Genomic DNA, 15,651 nt, shown 5'->3' with positions numbered 1-15,651 from the left:
AATAAGAAAATAAAACCCTCTTGCCAATCAGGGAAATCCTGTGGGGAGAGCGGCTCCACTTGGAGATAACGGGCCCAGAGAAACCGCCTAAGGTGGGGCAGTCAGCACCTGGGTGCAGGTGCATCTGGGACCCGTCAGATCTCTACGCCCCGCGCAGGCTCCGCCCCCACGCCCAAGACCCCGCCCCGCGCCCGGAGCCTCCCTCGACTTGGCCCTGGGTCTGCACCGAAGGCCCCACCCCTGCCCTCGCCCAGCCGCGACCCCGCGCTTCCGGATCCGGGTTGTTGCGGGATCTCACAGGCTTTAAACCGCGGCGCCGCGGCGCCCGGGTGTGGATCCCTAGATGGGAGCCGGGGATGGGCCGGGTGCCTGGTGGGTGGCAGTCGGGGCTGACGGCGGCGGCACTTTGCCGCCTCAGGCCCTGGACACCTTCACCCCGCCGCCTGCCCAGGCGGGCCGGCCCTGCCCGTCCACCGGCCGCCGAGAGTCCCCGGCCTTGGGTCCCCGGGGCCGCTGACTGGCCTCGGTCACCTCCCGGGGAAGGCTCCCGCGCCTCCATCTGCCCCCGCAGGAAGGGACCCTCTTCTCGCCCGCGAGGCTTCTCCGGGTGGGATCGTCCTGGCCCCCAGCCCTAAGGGATCCGCCCCCTCCGAGCATCCGCCGCCCCTCGGAGACCACTCCAGCTCGGACGGACCCACTCCAGCCCCCGCTGCACGCGGAAGCGCTCATCCTCCCCGCCTGCCCCGTTCCCTCCCCCTTCTCCTGTGGGACAACCAGGGACCGCAGCTCCCCGCTCCCCAGGTGTGGGGGCTCCGACACGAACGCCTCTGCTCGCAGGGCGGTGAGCGCAGATCCCACGGGTCCCTCGGTCGGGGGTCGAGGCTGCTTCCGTTTCCATCCCGGACCCGACAATGGGCGGGAAAAAGAAGGCTTTACACGACTACGCGGCGGAGTTCACCGACCTGGTGGTGAAGCACCTGATTGAGCACAGTGACTCTGGGGACACGTCTGTGGTGGAGACCCTTTACTGCAGGGCCTGCGAGCTGCCCGTGCGCGTGCGGAGGGACCGCATCCTGGAACACCTGTCCTCGGGCAGGCAGCACGGCCTGCGGACGCCCATTCTCATGTAAATGTCAGTGCCAACGCTGGTGTTTCAGGAGTCATCCCAGCGGGCTGCGGGCTATTTTAGGATTCTCTGCCCTGCAAACGTTTCCAAAGTACGTGGACAGGCCGCCTGATGACACTACGTTTACGGGATCTGCTAGTGGCTTGCCTACTTAGGGAGTAAACCCTGTGAAGTCTCGCAGTTTTGTTAAAGTGTGCGTGGCCACCTGAATGCTGCCTTATCACAAGCCAGATACATACTGGTCTGTAGGGTAACTCCCCACTGTTGATCCTCTGAGATGATTGTGGACTGGGTGCTGTGAGTCCTGCCACTTTGTTTAAGTGAATGTGTCTTTTGTCCAGCTCAGCCGCCTCGGATCTCGCTGCCACCAGCCTTACTGCACACCCGTGCCACCCGCCCTTGCCCCGTCAGCCTCAGCCTCAGCTCATTCTCTCAGGCAGTCCCAGCATTGGCACGGTACCTCCTCCCGCTGTGGGCCACACGTCTCTGCTCCCTGTCAACCCTCCTGCCATCAGCACCACCACCAGCGACTTGTCTGCCCGGGAGGATGCAACACCATCTGCCTCCACCGGCCACCTTTCAGTGTTTCCTGCTTTCCAAGTAAAGATACCAGCAGTGCCCTCAGAGCAGACCAGCCAGAGTTTTTCTGAAGCCTCCCACAGGGTGCTCCCCGGAGGAGGCCCGAGATGCTCTCGTGACTTTGGAGCCGGGGTGGCTGGCCACCTTGGCCTGGGCATCTTTGGGGTGGGCTTCGGGAGCCCGGCACTGCTGCAGAGTGTGGTGGATGAGAACAGCTGCTGCTTGCTGTACGTGGTGGAGGACCAGCTGTGTGATGTGGAGCAAGCCTTCAGAGCTGAGCATTTGGGCCAACACCAGAGTGGTTCGGGAACAGGATGCAGACATTGTCCTCAACGACCAGCGGTACGGTTTCAGTTGTCAGCAGAGGTTCACTGAACACCTGCTGTGTGCCGGGCACCGTCCTGGGGGCTGGAGAAATGGCTCTGAATGCTGCAAAGTCCCCATGCTTGTGCTGCTGAATTGGGGGCAGAGGCAGATGCGTAGATCTCAACACATCAGTAGCAATAAGCTCTGCGGAGAGAACTCACGCTGAGTCGGGAGAGGGAGGCTGGTGGGAGTGCTGTTTTAGGTGAGATGGCTGGGGAAGACTTGAGGAGGGGGCATTGGAGCAGGGACCTAGGTGGGTGAGTGAGATGGCCGTGGGGGCATCCGGGGACGAGCACACTCTACAAAGAGGACACTGAGTCTTCTCCAGGCCTTGGTGTAGCCAAGTGGCCCTGCTGGCAGGAACGGAGTGAATGGGGTGAGGGCTAGGCAAGGAGGTCCCAGGCCCAAGGAGCCTGGGGGCCACCCGGAGGCTTTGAAAGCCGCCAGGGGTTGGTTTGGTTTGAGCTCACACTCAGGGGGCGGAGGAGAAGGACGCAGGGACACCAGTGAGGGGTATTGGGGGGCCAGTGGGGCATGATGGGCCCGGACCAGGGCAGCAGTATGGCTGGATTTGGGATATTTTGAATGTACAGCCTTTGCAATGGGGTCCTGGCTTCCTCCCTTCACTCGAGCAGCTGGGTGTGACATGTCCACCCTGTTCATGAGCGGTGTCTCCAGCAGCTAGAGCAGCATCTATACTTGCTGTCCACAGGGTGTGGACAGCCACAGCAGGTAAACGGGCTCGCGGGCAGCCACCCAGCCTTGGGGTCAGGCGCAGCCACTGTGTTCAGGCCTGGGCTGGGCACTGCCTGGTGTTTCGCAGAGCTGGCCGGTGCTGCTCACAGGTCAGGCCTGGCTCACCTTTGGTGTGTCCAGGTTTGGACATGCTCTTACTAGTGTAGCAAGGGGAGAGTTTGACCCCAGGTTGTTAACGCATGTGGAGGGCTCTGAACGTATTAGCGGATGGTGTTGTGTCTCAGCAAAGCCCATTGCCACTGCAGAAGAACGTTCGTGAATGTTAATGCTTTGTGTGTTTTTGGAAAGTTGGCAAATTTTATTTATTTATTTATTTACTTTATTTATCTTTTGAGACGGAGTCTCACTCCTCTGACGGAGTCTTACCCTGACGGAGTCTCACTCTGTCGCCAGGCTGGAGTGCAGTGGCGCGATCTTGGCTCACTGCAACCTCCACCGCTGGGTTCACGCCATTCTCCTGCCTCAGCCTCCCGAGTAGCTGGGACTACAGGCACCTGCCACCGCACCCGGCTAATTTGTGTTTTTAGTAGAGACAGGGTTTCACTGTGTTAGCCAGGATGGTCTCGATCTCCTGACCTTGTGATCTGCCTGCCTCGGCCTCCCAAAGTGCTGGGACTACAGATGTGAGCCACTGCGCCCGGCCTGCAAATTTTAGTTTTCAGTTATCTGTGGCATCTGCTTTAGGCAGGTTTTCACACTTTTCACTCGGGTATCACATTCACAGAATGCACACGTTCATACATGATACACACAGCAAAGTGCCCGAGTCGGTGTGTTTTTTACGAACTGCACGCACCTGTGTGGCCAGCCTGGAGATCACAGTCCTCGGAAGTCCCCGGGCTCCTGTCCAGCCCACACCTGAGGCTGACCTCTGTAGGCTGAGGAAGGGAGCATCTTTTTTTTTTTTTTGAAAGAGTCTTGCTTTGTCACCCAGGCTGGAGTGCAGTGGCGCGATCATGGCTCACTGCAGCCTCAACCTCCTTGGCTCAAGTGATCCTCCTACCTCAGCCTCCTGAGTAGCTGGGACTACAGGTGTGTGACACCAAGCTTGGCTAATTTTTTTTTAGTATTTTTTCTAGAGATTGGTTTTTGCCAAGTTTCCCAGGCTGGTCTTGAACTCCTGGGCTCAAGTGATCCTCCTGCCTCAGCCAAATCTCAAAGTGCTGGGATTACAGGCGTGAGCCACTGCATCTGTCCCTGAGGATCGTAATAGAATTTGACTCACAGAAGCCTATTCTGTGACTTGGCTGGGATCTGTATTTTGTTCCTCAAAATTAGCAAGTTAAATTCTGAAGTAAGTCATACCGGAAATGTTTTCACAATTTACTTTGTTGAGGCCTTTTTCTTCTGTTATTCTCGTGCCTGAGATGGTTTATAGAGTGGTGTTAGCAGCATGGATTCTGGAATGTTCTAGGTCTCAAAGCACGCTCTTAACATTCCACTTTACTCCTGCAGCGTCTCTGGAGTAGTTGTTTGCTGCCCGCCGGAGGCAGCTTCTGAAATCGTGAGGGATGCTCTCCGAGCAGCTATGGGCTGGGCTGGCTGAGGTGATGTCTGCACCTGTGCCCAGGTGTCTCAGGGAGAATGGGCTTCGGGGAATAGGCTTGCCTGCTTCATCTCCTGACTCCTTTGCTAGGCACTTTGATCCGGTTTTCCAGTTCTTGCACAAGCAAGTTTGTGTCAGCCACGCCCTGGGGAGGATCCACTGGATCACCGCCGTCACTGCCTGTTCCCGGCGGCCTCTCCGGCTTCCCTAAAGAGAGCAGGTGGGCATCTGCGTTTTTGGGGGAATGCACAGCGTTGTGGCATCTGTGTCCATGTCACGTGGTTCCCTGTGACCCAGAACCCTCCAATGCTTCTCGCCAGTAGCTTCCCTCGAGACCAGAAGCCAGAGCTCACCCTCCCTTGTGTCCAGGTGGGACTTTCTACAACGCTGCTGTGCACGACGTGGATGCCGTATGCATGTTGCTGGGGGAAGCCACTCCGGACACTGTGTTTTCTCTGGGACATGTCTTCTGCCCAGGTAAGAGTGGGCCTCACTGTTGCAAGGTGCTCCTATGGCCACCGAGGCTGGTTGAAGATGTAGCACAGGCTGGGGCCCCTGTTCAGGATTCCTCCCCCACTCCCAGCTTTGGGGAGCAGATAAAGTAACATGGAGCACATGTAAAACAGATGACTAAATGGTCGCGTCACTGAATCCCTCAGGCATCATGCAGGAAGTGTTTCACATTTGATGAACTTTGAGAGTCACTGTTGTAGTAACCATTTCTCCAGCCCCTGCGATGTGACAGGCCCCTGTCGTTTCTCAGGTTGCAAAGGTGAAGAAACACAGTCCCGGCTGGAAGTCACAGCCAGGGTGGGATGCACACAGATTAGCAGATCATCAGCGAGCACCAGGTGAAGGCGGGGCTGGGGATGCTGGTTCCTAGGTCCTGGCCTGGCAGCAGAAGCTCAGGGTGGGTCCTGAGGGCTGCTGAAGAGGACAGATTATCTGTTGCTTTATGACACACCACACACTTGAAACAACAGCCACTGGGTAGTTAGGATTTTGCAGCCTGGACTGGGCTTGGCTGGAGTCCCTCTTCTGGTCTGCCCGGTGGTCACTCACGTGACTACAGCCAGCTGGTCAGCGGCCTGCCTGGAACAGCCCCACCAGGGTCCCAGGGCCGGGCCCCGCTGTCACCTGGGTTCTCTTCCGTGTCGTCCCCACGCCTCCTCAGGTCCCCACAGCAGCGTGGCCACACATTTGATGGCCTCAGGGGACCAAAGTAGAAGCACTGAGACATCCTGAGGCTTGGGCCGGGACTGACGTGGTACCCCTCACACCACACTTTGTGTACTGGGGCAAGTCCAGGCCCAGCCAGTGCCAGTGCTGACTTCTCTCAGTGCCTGCTTCACTCTGTCTCGTCAGCACCCCCTTTTGGCACTGCCTCCCCCGTCTGCCCAAAGTTCACCCACACACCCTGCTCCGCTGGCCACCACCCCGATCCCAGCCATGTCCTCATCCTGGCTGTGGCCATCTGCCTGCAATCTCTTCCCTGTAAGACCTCAGTTGGACCAGGTGCCCACCTGCTCTGAGCTCTCCAGAGCACAGGTGGAGGCCATGGTCTCCGCAGACCCCGCGGGCCTGTCACCGGTCGAGGGTCTTGACTGCACATTGTCCAGGTTCTTGGCCTTTTGAACAAAGAATTGGACAAAACACCCAGCAAAGCAAAGAAAGGATGAAGCAACAAAAGTACGAAAGCAGGGATTTATTGAAAATGAAACACACTCCACAGTGTGGGAGCGGCCCGAGCAGCAGCTCTAGGGCCGGATACAGAATCTTCTTGGGCCCAAATACCCCCTAGAAGTTTCCCATTGGCCACTTCATGCTCACCTCATGTAAACGAAGTGGTTGCAAAAAGCAACCAGTCAGAGGCTGGAGTGAAGTTACAAAGTTATACTTCTGTGCAGATGAAAACTCAGCCTGTAATCAGTCTGATTGGTGTGAACAGCGACCATTCAGAGGCTGGAGTGAGTGAAGTTACAAAGTTGCAAAGGAAGACTTGACCCACAATCAGTCTGATTTGTTGCAGACAGCCAGTTTCCCATCTGCCAGGCAGAAAACGTGAGTGGGGTTTGCAAAGGCCTCCGGTCCTTTTGTTACTTAGGAGTGGAAAGTTAGGGTTTTCCCTTCAACATAGTTCAAGGAAGTTGTGAAACAGCCTTAGGTTCCCTGCCTCCAGACCCTAATCTCCTGCCTCAGGCTCACGGGTGCCGCCCCCCGCAACCCCACTGTCCTCTTGTCCACTTCTCGCTCTTCCTCAGAAGGCCAGACAAGTACCTGTCTGGGGCCCGCTCCCCGGGTGGGACATGGGGACTGGCTCTGCTAGGCCCATGGCTGTACTCCCAGGGTCCAGAAGGTGCCTGGGCCCGGGACCGCCAACGCTACAGAAGCTTAGCAAACACGGAATTGGACTGCTTGCTGGGCAGCGTCCCCGTGCCTCTCAGGGACCCATTTTGGAACAATTTAATTTTCTATTAAGGACCAGTTTCTGTGTCACTACTTGGCTATGCCCTCCGCCCACTGCTTCAGTTAAAGCCGTGAGTTCAGGCCGGGTGTGGTGGTATTCCCAGCACTTTGGGAGGCCCAGGCTGCAGGATCACTTGAGGTCAGGAGTTCGAAACCAGCCTGGCCAACATGGTGAAACCCGTCTCTACTAAAAATACAAAAAAAATCAGCCGGGTGTGATAGTGAACGCCTGTAATCCCAGCTACTTGAGAGGCTGAGGCAGGAGAATTGCTTGAACCTGGGAGGCAGAGTTTGCAGTGAGCCAAGATCGTGCCACTGCACTCCAGCCTGGGTGACAGCAAGATTCTCTCAAAAACAAAACCAAACAAAACAGTTTCTCATTTGCCTAAATCAACTTTTGTATCATCTAAAGTTTTCTTCTGCTTAGATATGGCCGCCTTAAAAGATGCAGATGCTGTTGTGATCAGCATGAAGTTTCCCTGTGAGGCCGTGGTTAGCGTGGACATCAGCCAGCACTGCACAGACAGCTGCGACCAGGACGTCAGCCAGCACTGCACAGACAGCTGCGACCAGAGACTGGAGGTGACCCTTGCCCTTTTCCACCCTTCGCCAGTCCACTGTGAAAAGCTGGGTTGATTGTGCGGGTTAGATAGAGGTCATCAGCCGGGTTGATTGTGTGGGTTAGACAGAGGTCATCAGCCAGGTTGATTGTGTGGGTTAGATAGAGATCATCAGCCTGGTAGATTGTGTGGGTTAGATAGAGGTCATCAGCCAGGTTGATTGTGCGGGTTAGATAGAGATCATCAGCCGGGTTGATTCTACAGGTTAGATAGAGGTCGTCAGCCGGGTTGATTGTGCGGGTTAGATAGAGATCATCAGCCGGGTTGATTGTGCGGGTTAGATAGAGGTCATCAGCTGGGTTGATTGTGTGGGTTAGATAGAGATCATCAGCTGGGTTGATTGTGTGGGTTAGATAGAGGTCGTCAGCTGGGTTGATTGTGCGGGTTAGATAGAGGTCATCAGCCGGGTTGATTCTACAGGTTAGATAGAGGTCATCAGCTGGGTTGATTGTGCGGGTTAGAGATCATCAGCCGGGTTGATTGTGCGGGTTAGATAGAGGTCATCAGCCGGGTTGATTGTGCGGGTTAGATAGAGATCATCAGCTGGGTTGATTCTGCAGGTTAGATAGAGGTCATCAGCTGGGTTGACTATGTGGGTTAGATAGAGGTCGTCAGCCGGGTTGATTGTGTGGGTTAGACAGAGGTCATCAGCTGGGTTGATTCTGCGGGTTAGATAGAGGTCATCAGCTGGGTTGATTGTGTGGGTTAGATAGAGATCATCAGCTGGGTTGATTGTGTGGGTTAGATAGAGGTCATCAGCTGGGTTGATTGTGTGGGTTAGATAGAGGTCATCAGCTGGGTTGATTGTGTGGGTTAGATAGAGGTCATCAGCTGGGTTGATTGTGTGGGTTAGATAGAGGTCATCAGCTGGGTTGATTGTATGGGTTAGATAGAGGTCATCAGCTGGGTTGATTGTACGGGTTAGATAGAGGTCGTCAGCCGGGTTGATTCCGCAGGTTAGATAGAGGTCGTTAGCTGGGTGTGTGGGTCCCAAGGCGTGCTGCAGATGGAGAATCAGAATTCCTTGGGCATCACCGGGCGGGGCATGTCCCTGTCCCTTCGCTCCCAGACCCAGGCTAGCCGCTACCAGGACTCCTATCGAGAGCTCTTCAGACACTTTGTCAGAACCCTTAAAGGTGGGTGACGTTTTCAGGAGGAACCTGGGATGTCCTGATGCTCAATGGGTAGATGCCTTCCAGGCTGCAGTCAGTGCAGATGATATGCCAATTTCAGGTGGAAAATTGCATTCCAGATACCGGGTTCAGATTTGAAATTGTCCATCTCAGTGATCATTTACGTTGCGTGTACTTGAGGGAGATTCTGAGAGATGCTCCTTTGGGGTTCTGTGCGTGTACCATGTTGCCTGACACGTCCTGAGAAATCTTCTTAAACTCTGAGTTTATAAAATAACTACTTCTGAACTCCTGAGATCTAGTGGATACCATGTATCCTGGAAGATAGGACACTTTCTACCCTCTGTCAGTCCTGGGGGTGACTGGGAACCAGAGAGGTTGAGCAGAATTCCTGGACCTGGGTGGGGCTTGTCCAAGAGGGGCAGGTGGGCCTCTCTAGGATCAGTGTCCCACCCAGAGGCCAGTGGCCCCTTCACATGCCCCAACAAGAGGAAGACTGTCTGGCTCCGCAGTGTTGGGTTTTGTCCTGAATCTGTGCAAATGTGCAGGGAAATAACCTCCTGAAATCACCAAAGAGCAGTTCCTCAGGGCCTTCCGGGTGACCGTGGCCGTGGAGCAGTCGTGGTGAAACCGGTCAGCTGTGGACCTGCCCTGCGAATCGGCAGAGGCCTCCGTGGTGAAGACAGAAGCTCCGTGAACCAACTCGAGGCTGGAGCCAAGATCCTGCCTGATATCCAGTTGCCTGTTTCACTTGTTACTGTTACTGGGAGAGGGAGACAAAACCTCATGGCAATCTTGTCCTCACTGGAGACTCAGAAGGGGAAGCATTGGGAAACCATGTATGTTTCATTTCTGGTTTAACCAGGCTTTTCAGGATGGGACTTCAGACCAAGGACACAAGTTGGGCTTGCTTAGGTGTTTTGTGTTGTGCGCAGGCCTCAGAGATGCTCTTCCGGTCAGAGTTCCCTTGGCAGGGCCTTGGAGGCCTCTGGTTGGCTCTCTCAGGAAGAGGGCAGGTCAGGGATTGGGCGGTGTAAATTGACTCAGAAACCTGCGGTTTCAGCTTTTCTGTGGCAAACAGGGCCGAGGGCTGGTGAAGCTGTTAAGGCTAAATGTCGCATGCATGAGGCGGGCTGCAGGCCTCCTTAGGCCTTTTTTGGGGTAATTACACCAGTATTTAAAAACATTTTTTTTTGTTTGTTTTGAGATGGAGTCTTGCCCTGTCACCCAGGCTGGAGTGCAATGGTGCGATCTCGGCTCACTGCAACCTCCGTCTCCCAGGTTCAAGCGATTCTTCTGCCTCAGCCTTCTGAGTAGCTGGGATTACACGCGTGTGCCACCACGCTCGGCTAATTTTTGTATTTTTAGTAGAGATGGGATTTCACCATGTTGGCCAGGCTGGTCTCGAACTACTGACCTCGTGATCCACCTGCCATGGCCTCCCAAAGTGCTGGGATTACAGGCGTGAGCCACCATGCTCGGCCTAAAAAACAATTTTCTTGAAGAATCCGATTTTGTGCATAGTAATGACACAGCACCATTCCTGAGAAATAGGAAATATATGTGTGTGGTATGAAAAGCCCATATTCTGTTCTTGTCACCTGAATCTAGGCTTCCTCTTTGGATGTGAACGCGGGAATGAACAGTGGCTGTTTTCCACCCAAAGGGGCGTGGAGACCTTTTGGAAACGGGCTTTCTCCTTTCCATTTTGCAGCCGGGGGCGGGTGGAAACCTTCCTTCGAAGGGTAGTGCCTTGGGGAGCAGCAGACCTGCTCTGAGTCCAGCTTAGCTTTCCAAAATTCTGTGTGGAACTTACTGGAGATGTTTTTATATATTTGAAAATAATGGCCTGTATTTCTCACGCTATACTTAAAAAAAATAACTAACCTTTTAAACAAAGATATTCAAACTCACCCTTGTGCTGAAAGCACTCACATTTCTGTGTTCATTCCTGAAAGGGCGTTTTAGAGTCCCCGTTTCTACGTTCTATGTGGCACCCTCTTGCCGAGGGAACATCCAGAATCCCTCCACTTCCTGTCTAGTTTGAGGCCTCAACACCTTCATGATCCAGAGTCCTGCGGCTATGAGGGGGTGGGCCCACCACCGCCCAGCCCTCCTTGGTGGACGTGGGGACAGGTAGGAGCCTAGGGAAAGGGGTGGGCGGGCTCTGGTGTGACGGCGTGAGCGCTAGCCAGGAAGATGGGGCCAGGGCTTGGCATGGCACCTCACCTGTGGGGGAACTCGGCGGAGCTTCCTGGCGGCATCTCCCCCTCTTGCCTTGGTCCTTTCTATCTTTGTTTTAGGCCAATTTCTAAAAAGACTGAGGCCTCCTTCAAGGTTGAACAGATTTCTAGAGCCTTGTTTTTGCTGTGACAAGTCCCTAGTCCCTGTTCACAACTCTGAAACCAAGAAACCTGAGAACCAAGAGAACTGAAATGAAGCCCGTTGGTCTCAGCCTGGCTTGAGCCAACATGAGGCTCTCTGCTGCCTTTTGTTTTCTTAGGTTTTGCTGAGAAACGGGAGTGCGTTCTGTGTCGGTGTTTGTGACGCCCTGAGACCCTGCTTGGCCTAGCTAAAGTCCAGAAGGCCTGGGCCCCACAGGGCTTGGATGAGGGCTCATGGGCCTGTACTTCAGGAGGCCTGAGAGGCCCGGTCAGTCCCATGAGGCTACTCGGCTTGGCCCGCAGGTCCTCCGAGGCACAGGGCAGAGGGACACCCCAGGGACCCATCAGACTCACGACACAGAGAAACTCAAGTGGGGTGCCAGGGCCGGCCACAGAGGCCACGGGCTTCCTGCCTGTGAGGAGCCGCCCTGTTTGTCTGAGCCCTTTGGAGATTTAGGTTGAGTCATGAGAACCGGTCATTGGAACATACACTTTATTATGTTACAAAAACAAAAATCCCCACTGAAACACAGCTAAAAAAATAACACATTTTCCCAAGATTACATTACCAAAAACAGTTGTTATGTCATTGGAGGGCGTCCATTAATACTGCTCGGAGAAGCACGATCTTACACGAAAAACACGGATGGGATTTCGTTTTCACCTTAAAGCATTAAAGTGCTTTAACTGGTAACAGAGGAGTGGATGTTTGTGCGTTGGAGACACTGACTGTTCTGAGTGACAAGTGGCTCTGTGCCAGGATACTGCGGGTCGGGCTCCTGGGTACAGCAAGGGCTTCCCAGCAGCCCAGGCCTGGTGGGAACGCTGGGGGAATGGGGGAGAGTCGCTGTTTCTGACCAGAGCGACTTGGACAGATGTGAGCTGACCTGCCTGGCGAGCTCCTTCTGCCTTGCCTCTCTGAGCAGACTCAGGACCACTGCCTGTCCCCCTTGGCCCCAGGAGTGCCAGCAGCCTCCCTCCAACCCCTGCACTGCTGGGAAAACCATCCGCCTTCAAGATTTATTTGTTGATTTGTTTAGTTTTATAAAAACATATCACTTAAAGGATTCTTGTTCCTGGGAATTTGCATTTTCTCCTGACCACGGCGAAGTCTCAACTCTGTCTACTTTCACAGCTGCTTCTCCAGTGCAAGGAGGCTGCATGGGCTCCCTAGACAGGTGCAGCTGGGGCCATCTGGCTGCTCCGTGTTCTGGCCGGCTTCCTTGGACATCTGGCTGGGGTTCCAGTGACAGCTGCCCCTGGGCCTCTCCCAGCCCCCCCAGCCCCCCCAGCCCTTCCCAGGAGCACACTACAGGGGCTCTTGGGACAGCCTCACTGGACTCAGGGTGGACAGGTAACGTACCTAAGAAACAAATCAACAAGCCCTCTGGAACTGAAGCACATCTGCGCTGGGCTGAGGAACCCCGGGTGTCAGGATGGGCCCCCGCGGCTCCTGAAGTGGAACATGGGGGAAGAGTGGGGGCTTCAGGAGGTGGCCTCGGGTAGCAGGTGCCCAGCCCCCAAGAGATGGGTGTGGTGCCTGGGGCATGGGTCTTAGCCTTTCTGGTCTCAGCTTCCTCATCTACAAAATGGCAATAAGATGGAGAGCTGAGGTGACATGCAGCTGGGGTGGCTGCGCCACCCTGGGAAAGCCCCGAGTCTGCTGCTGCTGCCGCTACTGACTGATGCCCTGGGCGTGGGCACCTTTCTAGGGAGATGGAACCCTAGAAGCTAAGCGGCCAGAGCTTCCTGCCCTTCAGCTGGAAGGAGCCGGAAGGAGCTGGAAGGAAGGGCCAGGCCCTCGCCCTGGCTGCAGCCAGATCCCCTGAGAGCCGACAGCCCCGTTCCTGCTGCCCCCACAAGCGTGCACCCAGGCGACTGTGCTGTCAGCGGCCCCCGGGGAGGTGGACGGTGGGAGAGGGATGCCTGCGTCTTCGTAGACCAGGTACCTGCGGCAACACCAGTCGCTGCTTTTAAATAAGGGGAGGCTGGTGACGGTGATGCCACTTAGCAAGATGGAGTCCTGATCTGGGGATGGGGGCTGTGTCTAACCTTGCTGTGCCCTGAGGGGCTTAACTGCTTTTTCTGGGAGATGTTAGTAGGGGAAGCTCCTAGCCCTTAGGACCACACATACCCTAGGCAGGGGGTGTGGAGCTGGCCGTGCCAGAAGGGGCCAGGCAGCCTGCACTCTGGGTGGTGTCTCGGCTTGCGTGGGTGAGGGCTCCCATTGGCCCACCTGCCTGCAATGAAGGGCCTCGTCACACCCGTGAGGCCCCCCAGGGGCTCCGGTTCCCTGCCCTGAAGCTGTGCTCCGGGACGGTCAAGGTTCGGCCACCAAGGCTCAGGCTGCTCCTCGTGGATGGAGGTGGCCCCAGAAAGGGCCTGTGCAGACTCTGTCTCCCCGGGGCCTACTAACTCCCTGGGGTGCTCCACGAAGGCCTAGACCCCCCTACACCTACCTCAGTCTGTTCCCTGACTGCCACCGCCTAGAAAGGAAAGCAATGCCCTGTGGACCTTGCAGTGCTAGAGAAGGTGGCCGTGGCAAGGGAGGAGCTGCTCCCATGGCAGAGCATTCCTGCAGATTTGCCTGGATTTGCCCTTCCTGGGGTTCCCTCTAGGCTTCCTCCCCACCCGGCCTTCCTGGGAACAAGTCCCGCCCACCTGGCTTCTCACTCAGCTTCCTCAGCCTGGCTCATGGGCGCTAGGTTGAACTCCAAAGAGAATGCTGAGAAAGAAAGTTAAAAAAAAAAAAAAAAAAGCTGACCCACCATGTAGAAAAGGGTATCATTTTATCAAATATTGACAATTTCCAGTCCTCTAAGGACAGGCTGTCCCTTTCTGCTGAGGGGTCCCCGAGGAGAGGCGACTGTGGCCAGGCTGAGGGGCACTGGCTGAGGCGGTACCACATGCTTCCCCGCGCCTGGGGGGGGTTGCGCCCTCCCCAGTTTTCTCCAATTTCAGCAACACTGTGGTTGTTGTTAGGGGCAGGAAGGAGGCGGTCCTGCAGAATACAGCGTGCTGGGGGCAGAGGCCAGTCCCAAGTCCAGCAGAGAGAGTCCCCAGCCCCCGGCGCGGGCAAGACGCAGTTAGGGACATTCCCTGAAAATACACTGGTGTTTCAGACACAGTCACTTGGCTGCTCACTACTATCCAGAACCAAAAGATGTCGCAAAATACTTTTTGGCAGTCCATCAGCAAAGAGGATCCTTTCCTTTGGAAGGACCTCGCCTGGTTGGGAGATGACAGTCTCTAGGATGAAGCCTGGAAGTCGGAGCCGACGCTGCGGTCCCCACCCACGCCTGCCATGGAGCACGCCGGGGCAGTGGCAGGGCTGAGAGTGGGCCAGCCCCCGCCCCACAAGCCCAGCACTAGGGCAGCTCCAGAAGGTTCTGCAGGTGACTCAGGCTGTCCACAGGCGGCTTCGGTGGCTGGGCCTTTCCTGGGGCCTGTGAGGTGCCTGGGGATGGGCCGGACCTTGCCTTTCCCCGGGCACAGCCCGAAGGTCCTGCCTCCTGAGGCAGTTTTGGACACACAGGAAGGAGAGGGGAGGCAGCTTGGGTCTCTGGGCGGTGGCGCAGGCTGCAGCCAGGCGAGGCCCTCAGTGGATCTCGGCCTCCGTGAACTCCTCCTTGATGGGCTGCTTGCGGGCCTTGCAGTCGGGCAGGTCGAAGCCGAAGTCCGCCCACTCGTCAGGGCCGCCGCCTGGGCCGCCGCGGTTGGGGATGGTGATGGTGTGGCGCACGCGGAAGTGCACGGCCTCCATGACCCGCTGGCGCTGCAGTTCCCCTGAGCCGCCGATGGAGATGGTGGCCGCGTTGCTAGAGCGGAGCAGCTGCTGCGCGGTGCTGTAGTCGTGGCCCTGCTTCAGGTCCTGCAGGCCCCGCCAGATGGTCATGCGGTACTGCTCGGGGATCTTCAGGGCCCCCAGGTCCTGCGAGAGGCCGGCGCATTAGGGGCAGGGGGCAGTGGAGCAGGGAGAGCAGGGGGGGTCGCCCTGGGCCTGGAGGTCTGGCCACACCACACCCTGGCCCCTACACCCCCAACCAGAGTAGGCAGGAGACGGGGGAGGGGGAGAGCCCACCAGAGTCACTCCTGGCCTGTGCGGGGCCTGGGCCCTGACCTGGGAGTGTTAGACATGGAGCCCCCTGAGCATCTACCTGGCCCTGGGGGAGGAACTGCCTCCCAGCCTCAGGGCAGGGCCCTCCTTGGTCTCCATGTCCCTGCCCCCTGGAGTGGACCCCCAGCTCATCCCTGAGCTCCCAACACCCTCTGGGCACCACACCAAGCACACACATCACTCAGGGGAGGCAAGGGTTAACGTGACCTGGAGCTGGCTCAGCGTGGGTCACTGGGGACAGGTTGCGGGGAGGGCGGTTAGTGGACACAGACGCGGCCACTCTCTGCACGAGGGACAGTTAGGCTGAGCAGCTGGCCCTAGCTCGCACTGACCCTCATCTCTGTCTGCAGCCCCAGGCTGGGGATGGTCTGGGACGGGCCTTGGACCTGGGCCGCGGCACTGGCTGGGGGGCAGGTTCCCACCAGAGGGCTTGCTCTTCCTTGACTGACGGTGCCCTGTGGTTCACACCGTCCTAGGCTACCAGCAGGCTTTGTACTCCACTAGTCTCTAACCCAAAGACAAGCCGTGGCTGTTTAATCATGGTGCCTGCAGTCAGCT

General features: G+C 56.6%; 1 protein-coding gene and 1 pseudogene across 20 annotated transcripts in view, besides 5 other annotated features; one reads left to right on the top strand and one right to left on the bottom strand.

The window, feature by feature from the left end:
- Positions 100-589: a silencer, noted in NCBI's record as "silent region_123". NCBI's record gives its function as "represses an Ori minimal core promoter by ATAC-STARR-seq in GM12878 lymphoblastoid cells {active_cell/tissue: GM12878}" and the evidence as "EXISTENCE:reporter gene assay evidence [ECO:0000049][PMID:35858748]".
- GFOD3P (Gfo/Idh/MocA-like oxidoreductase domain containing 3, pseudogene) lies at positions 281-11,670 on the top strand (annotated as a pseudogene). Of its 5 annotated transcripts, NR_033712.1 has the most exons (6): positions 883-1,367; positions 1,473-2,047; positions 4,464-4,593; positions 4,743-4,850; positions 7,267-7,421; positions 9,800-11,670. The product of NR_033712.1 is annotated as a Gfo/Idh/MocA-like oxidoreductase domain containing 3, pseudogene, transcript variant 5 (transcript). The 5 variants fall into 5 exon arrangements; NR_033709.1 differs by having other exon boundaries at positions 281-2,047; positions 9,141-11,670; NR_033710.1 differs by having other exon boundaries at positions 281-2,047; positions 7,267-7,818; positions 8,283-11,670.
- Positions 860-1,696: an enhancer, noted in NCBI's record as "H3K27ac-H3K4me1 hESC enhancer chr1:3662522-3663358 (GRCh37/hg19 assembly coordinates)". NCBI's record gives its function as "activates a minimal SCP1, AML or CMV promoter by ChIP-STARR-seq in naive H9 embryonic stem cells {active_cell/tissue: H9 hESC(naive)}" and the evidence as "EXISTENCE:reporter gene assay evidence [ECO:0000049][PMID:30033119]".
- Positions 1,697-2,532: an enhancer, noted in NCBI's record as "H3K27ac-H3K4me1 hESC enhancer chr1:3661686-3662521 (GRCh37/hg19 assembly coordinates)". NCBI's record gives its function as "activates a minimal SCP1, AML or CMV promoter by ChIP-STARR-seq in naive H9 embryonic stem cells {active_cell/tissue: H9 hESC(naive)}" and the evidence as "EXISTENCE:reporter gene assay evidence [ECO:0000049][PMID:30033119]".
- Positions 4,392-4,561: an enhancer, noted in NCBI's record as "experimental_7436 CRE fragment used in MPRA reporter constructs". NCBI's record gives its function as "activates a minimal promoter by MPRAs in K562 erythroleukemia cells, with activity observed for both the introgressed and non-introgressed 1:3659742 variant alleles {active_cell/tissue: K562}" and the evidence as "EXISTENCE:reporter gene assay evidence [ECO:0000049][PMID:34662402]".
- The window catches only part of TP73 (tumor protein p73), an 83,686-nt gene continuing 79,487 nt past the window's right edge, over positions 11,453-15,651 (bottom strand). For all 15 annotated transcript variants that reach the window (NM_005427.4, NM_001204184.2, NM_001204185.2 and 12 more), the window contains one exon: positions 11,453-14,907. In NM_005427.4, coding sequence (NP_005418.1) covers positions 14,575-14,907 — 333 coding nt within the window. In that variant the 3' untranslated portion in view covers positions 11,453-14,574. The remainder of the gene's footprint in view (positions 14,908-15,651) is intronic.
- Positions 13,411-14,199: an enhancer, noted in NCBI's record as "H3K4me1 hESC enhancer chr1:3650019-3650807 (GRCh37/hg19 assembly coordinates)". NCBI's record gives its function as "activates a minimal SCP1, AML or CMV promoter by ChIP-STARR-seq in naive H9 embryonic stem cells {active_cell/tissue: H9 hESC(naive)}" and the evidence as "EXISTENCE:reporter gene assay evidence [ECO:0000049][PMID:30033119]".

This window comes from Homo sapiens, chromosome 1 (genome assembly GCF_000001405.40).
Source record: "Homo sapiens chromosome 1, GRCh38.p14 Primary Assembly".
NCBI classification, from domain to species: Eukaryota; Metazoa; Chordata; class Mammalia; order Primates; family Hominidae; genus Homo; species Homo sapiens.
This window is presented reverse-complemented; position numbering and strand designations above follow the sequence as displayed.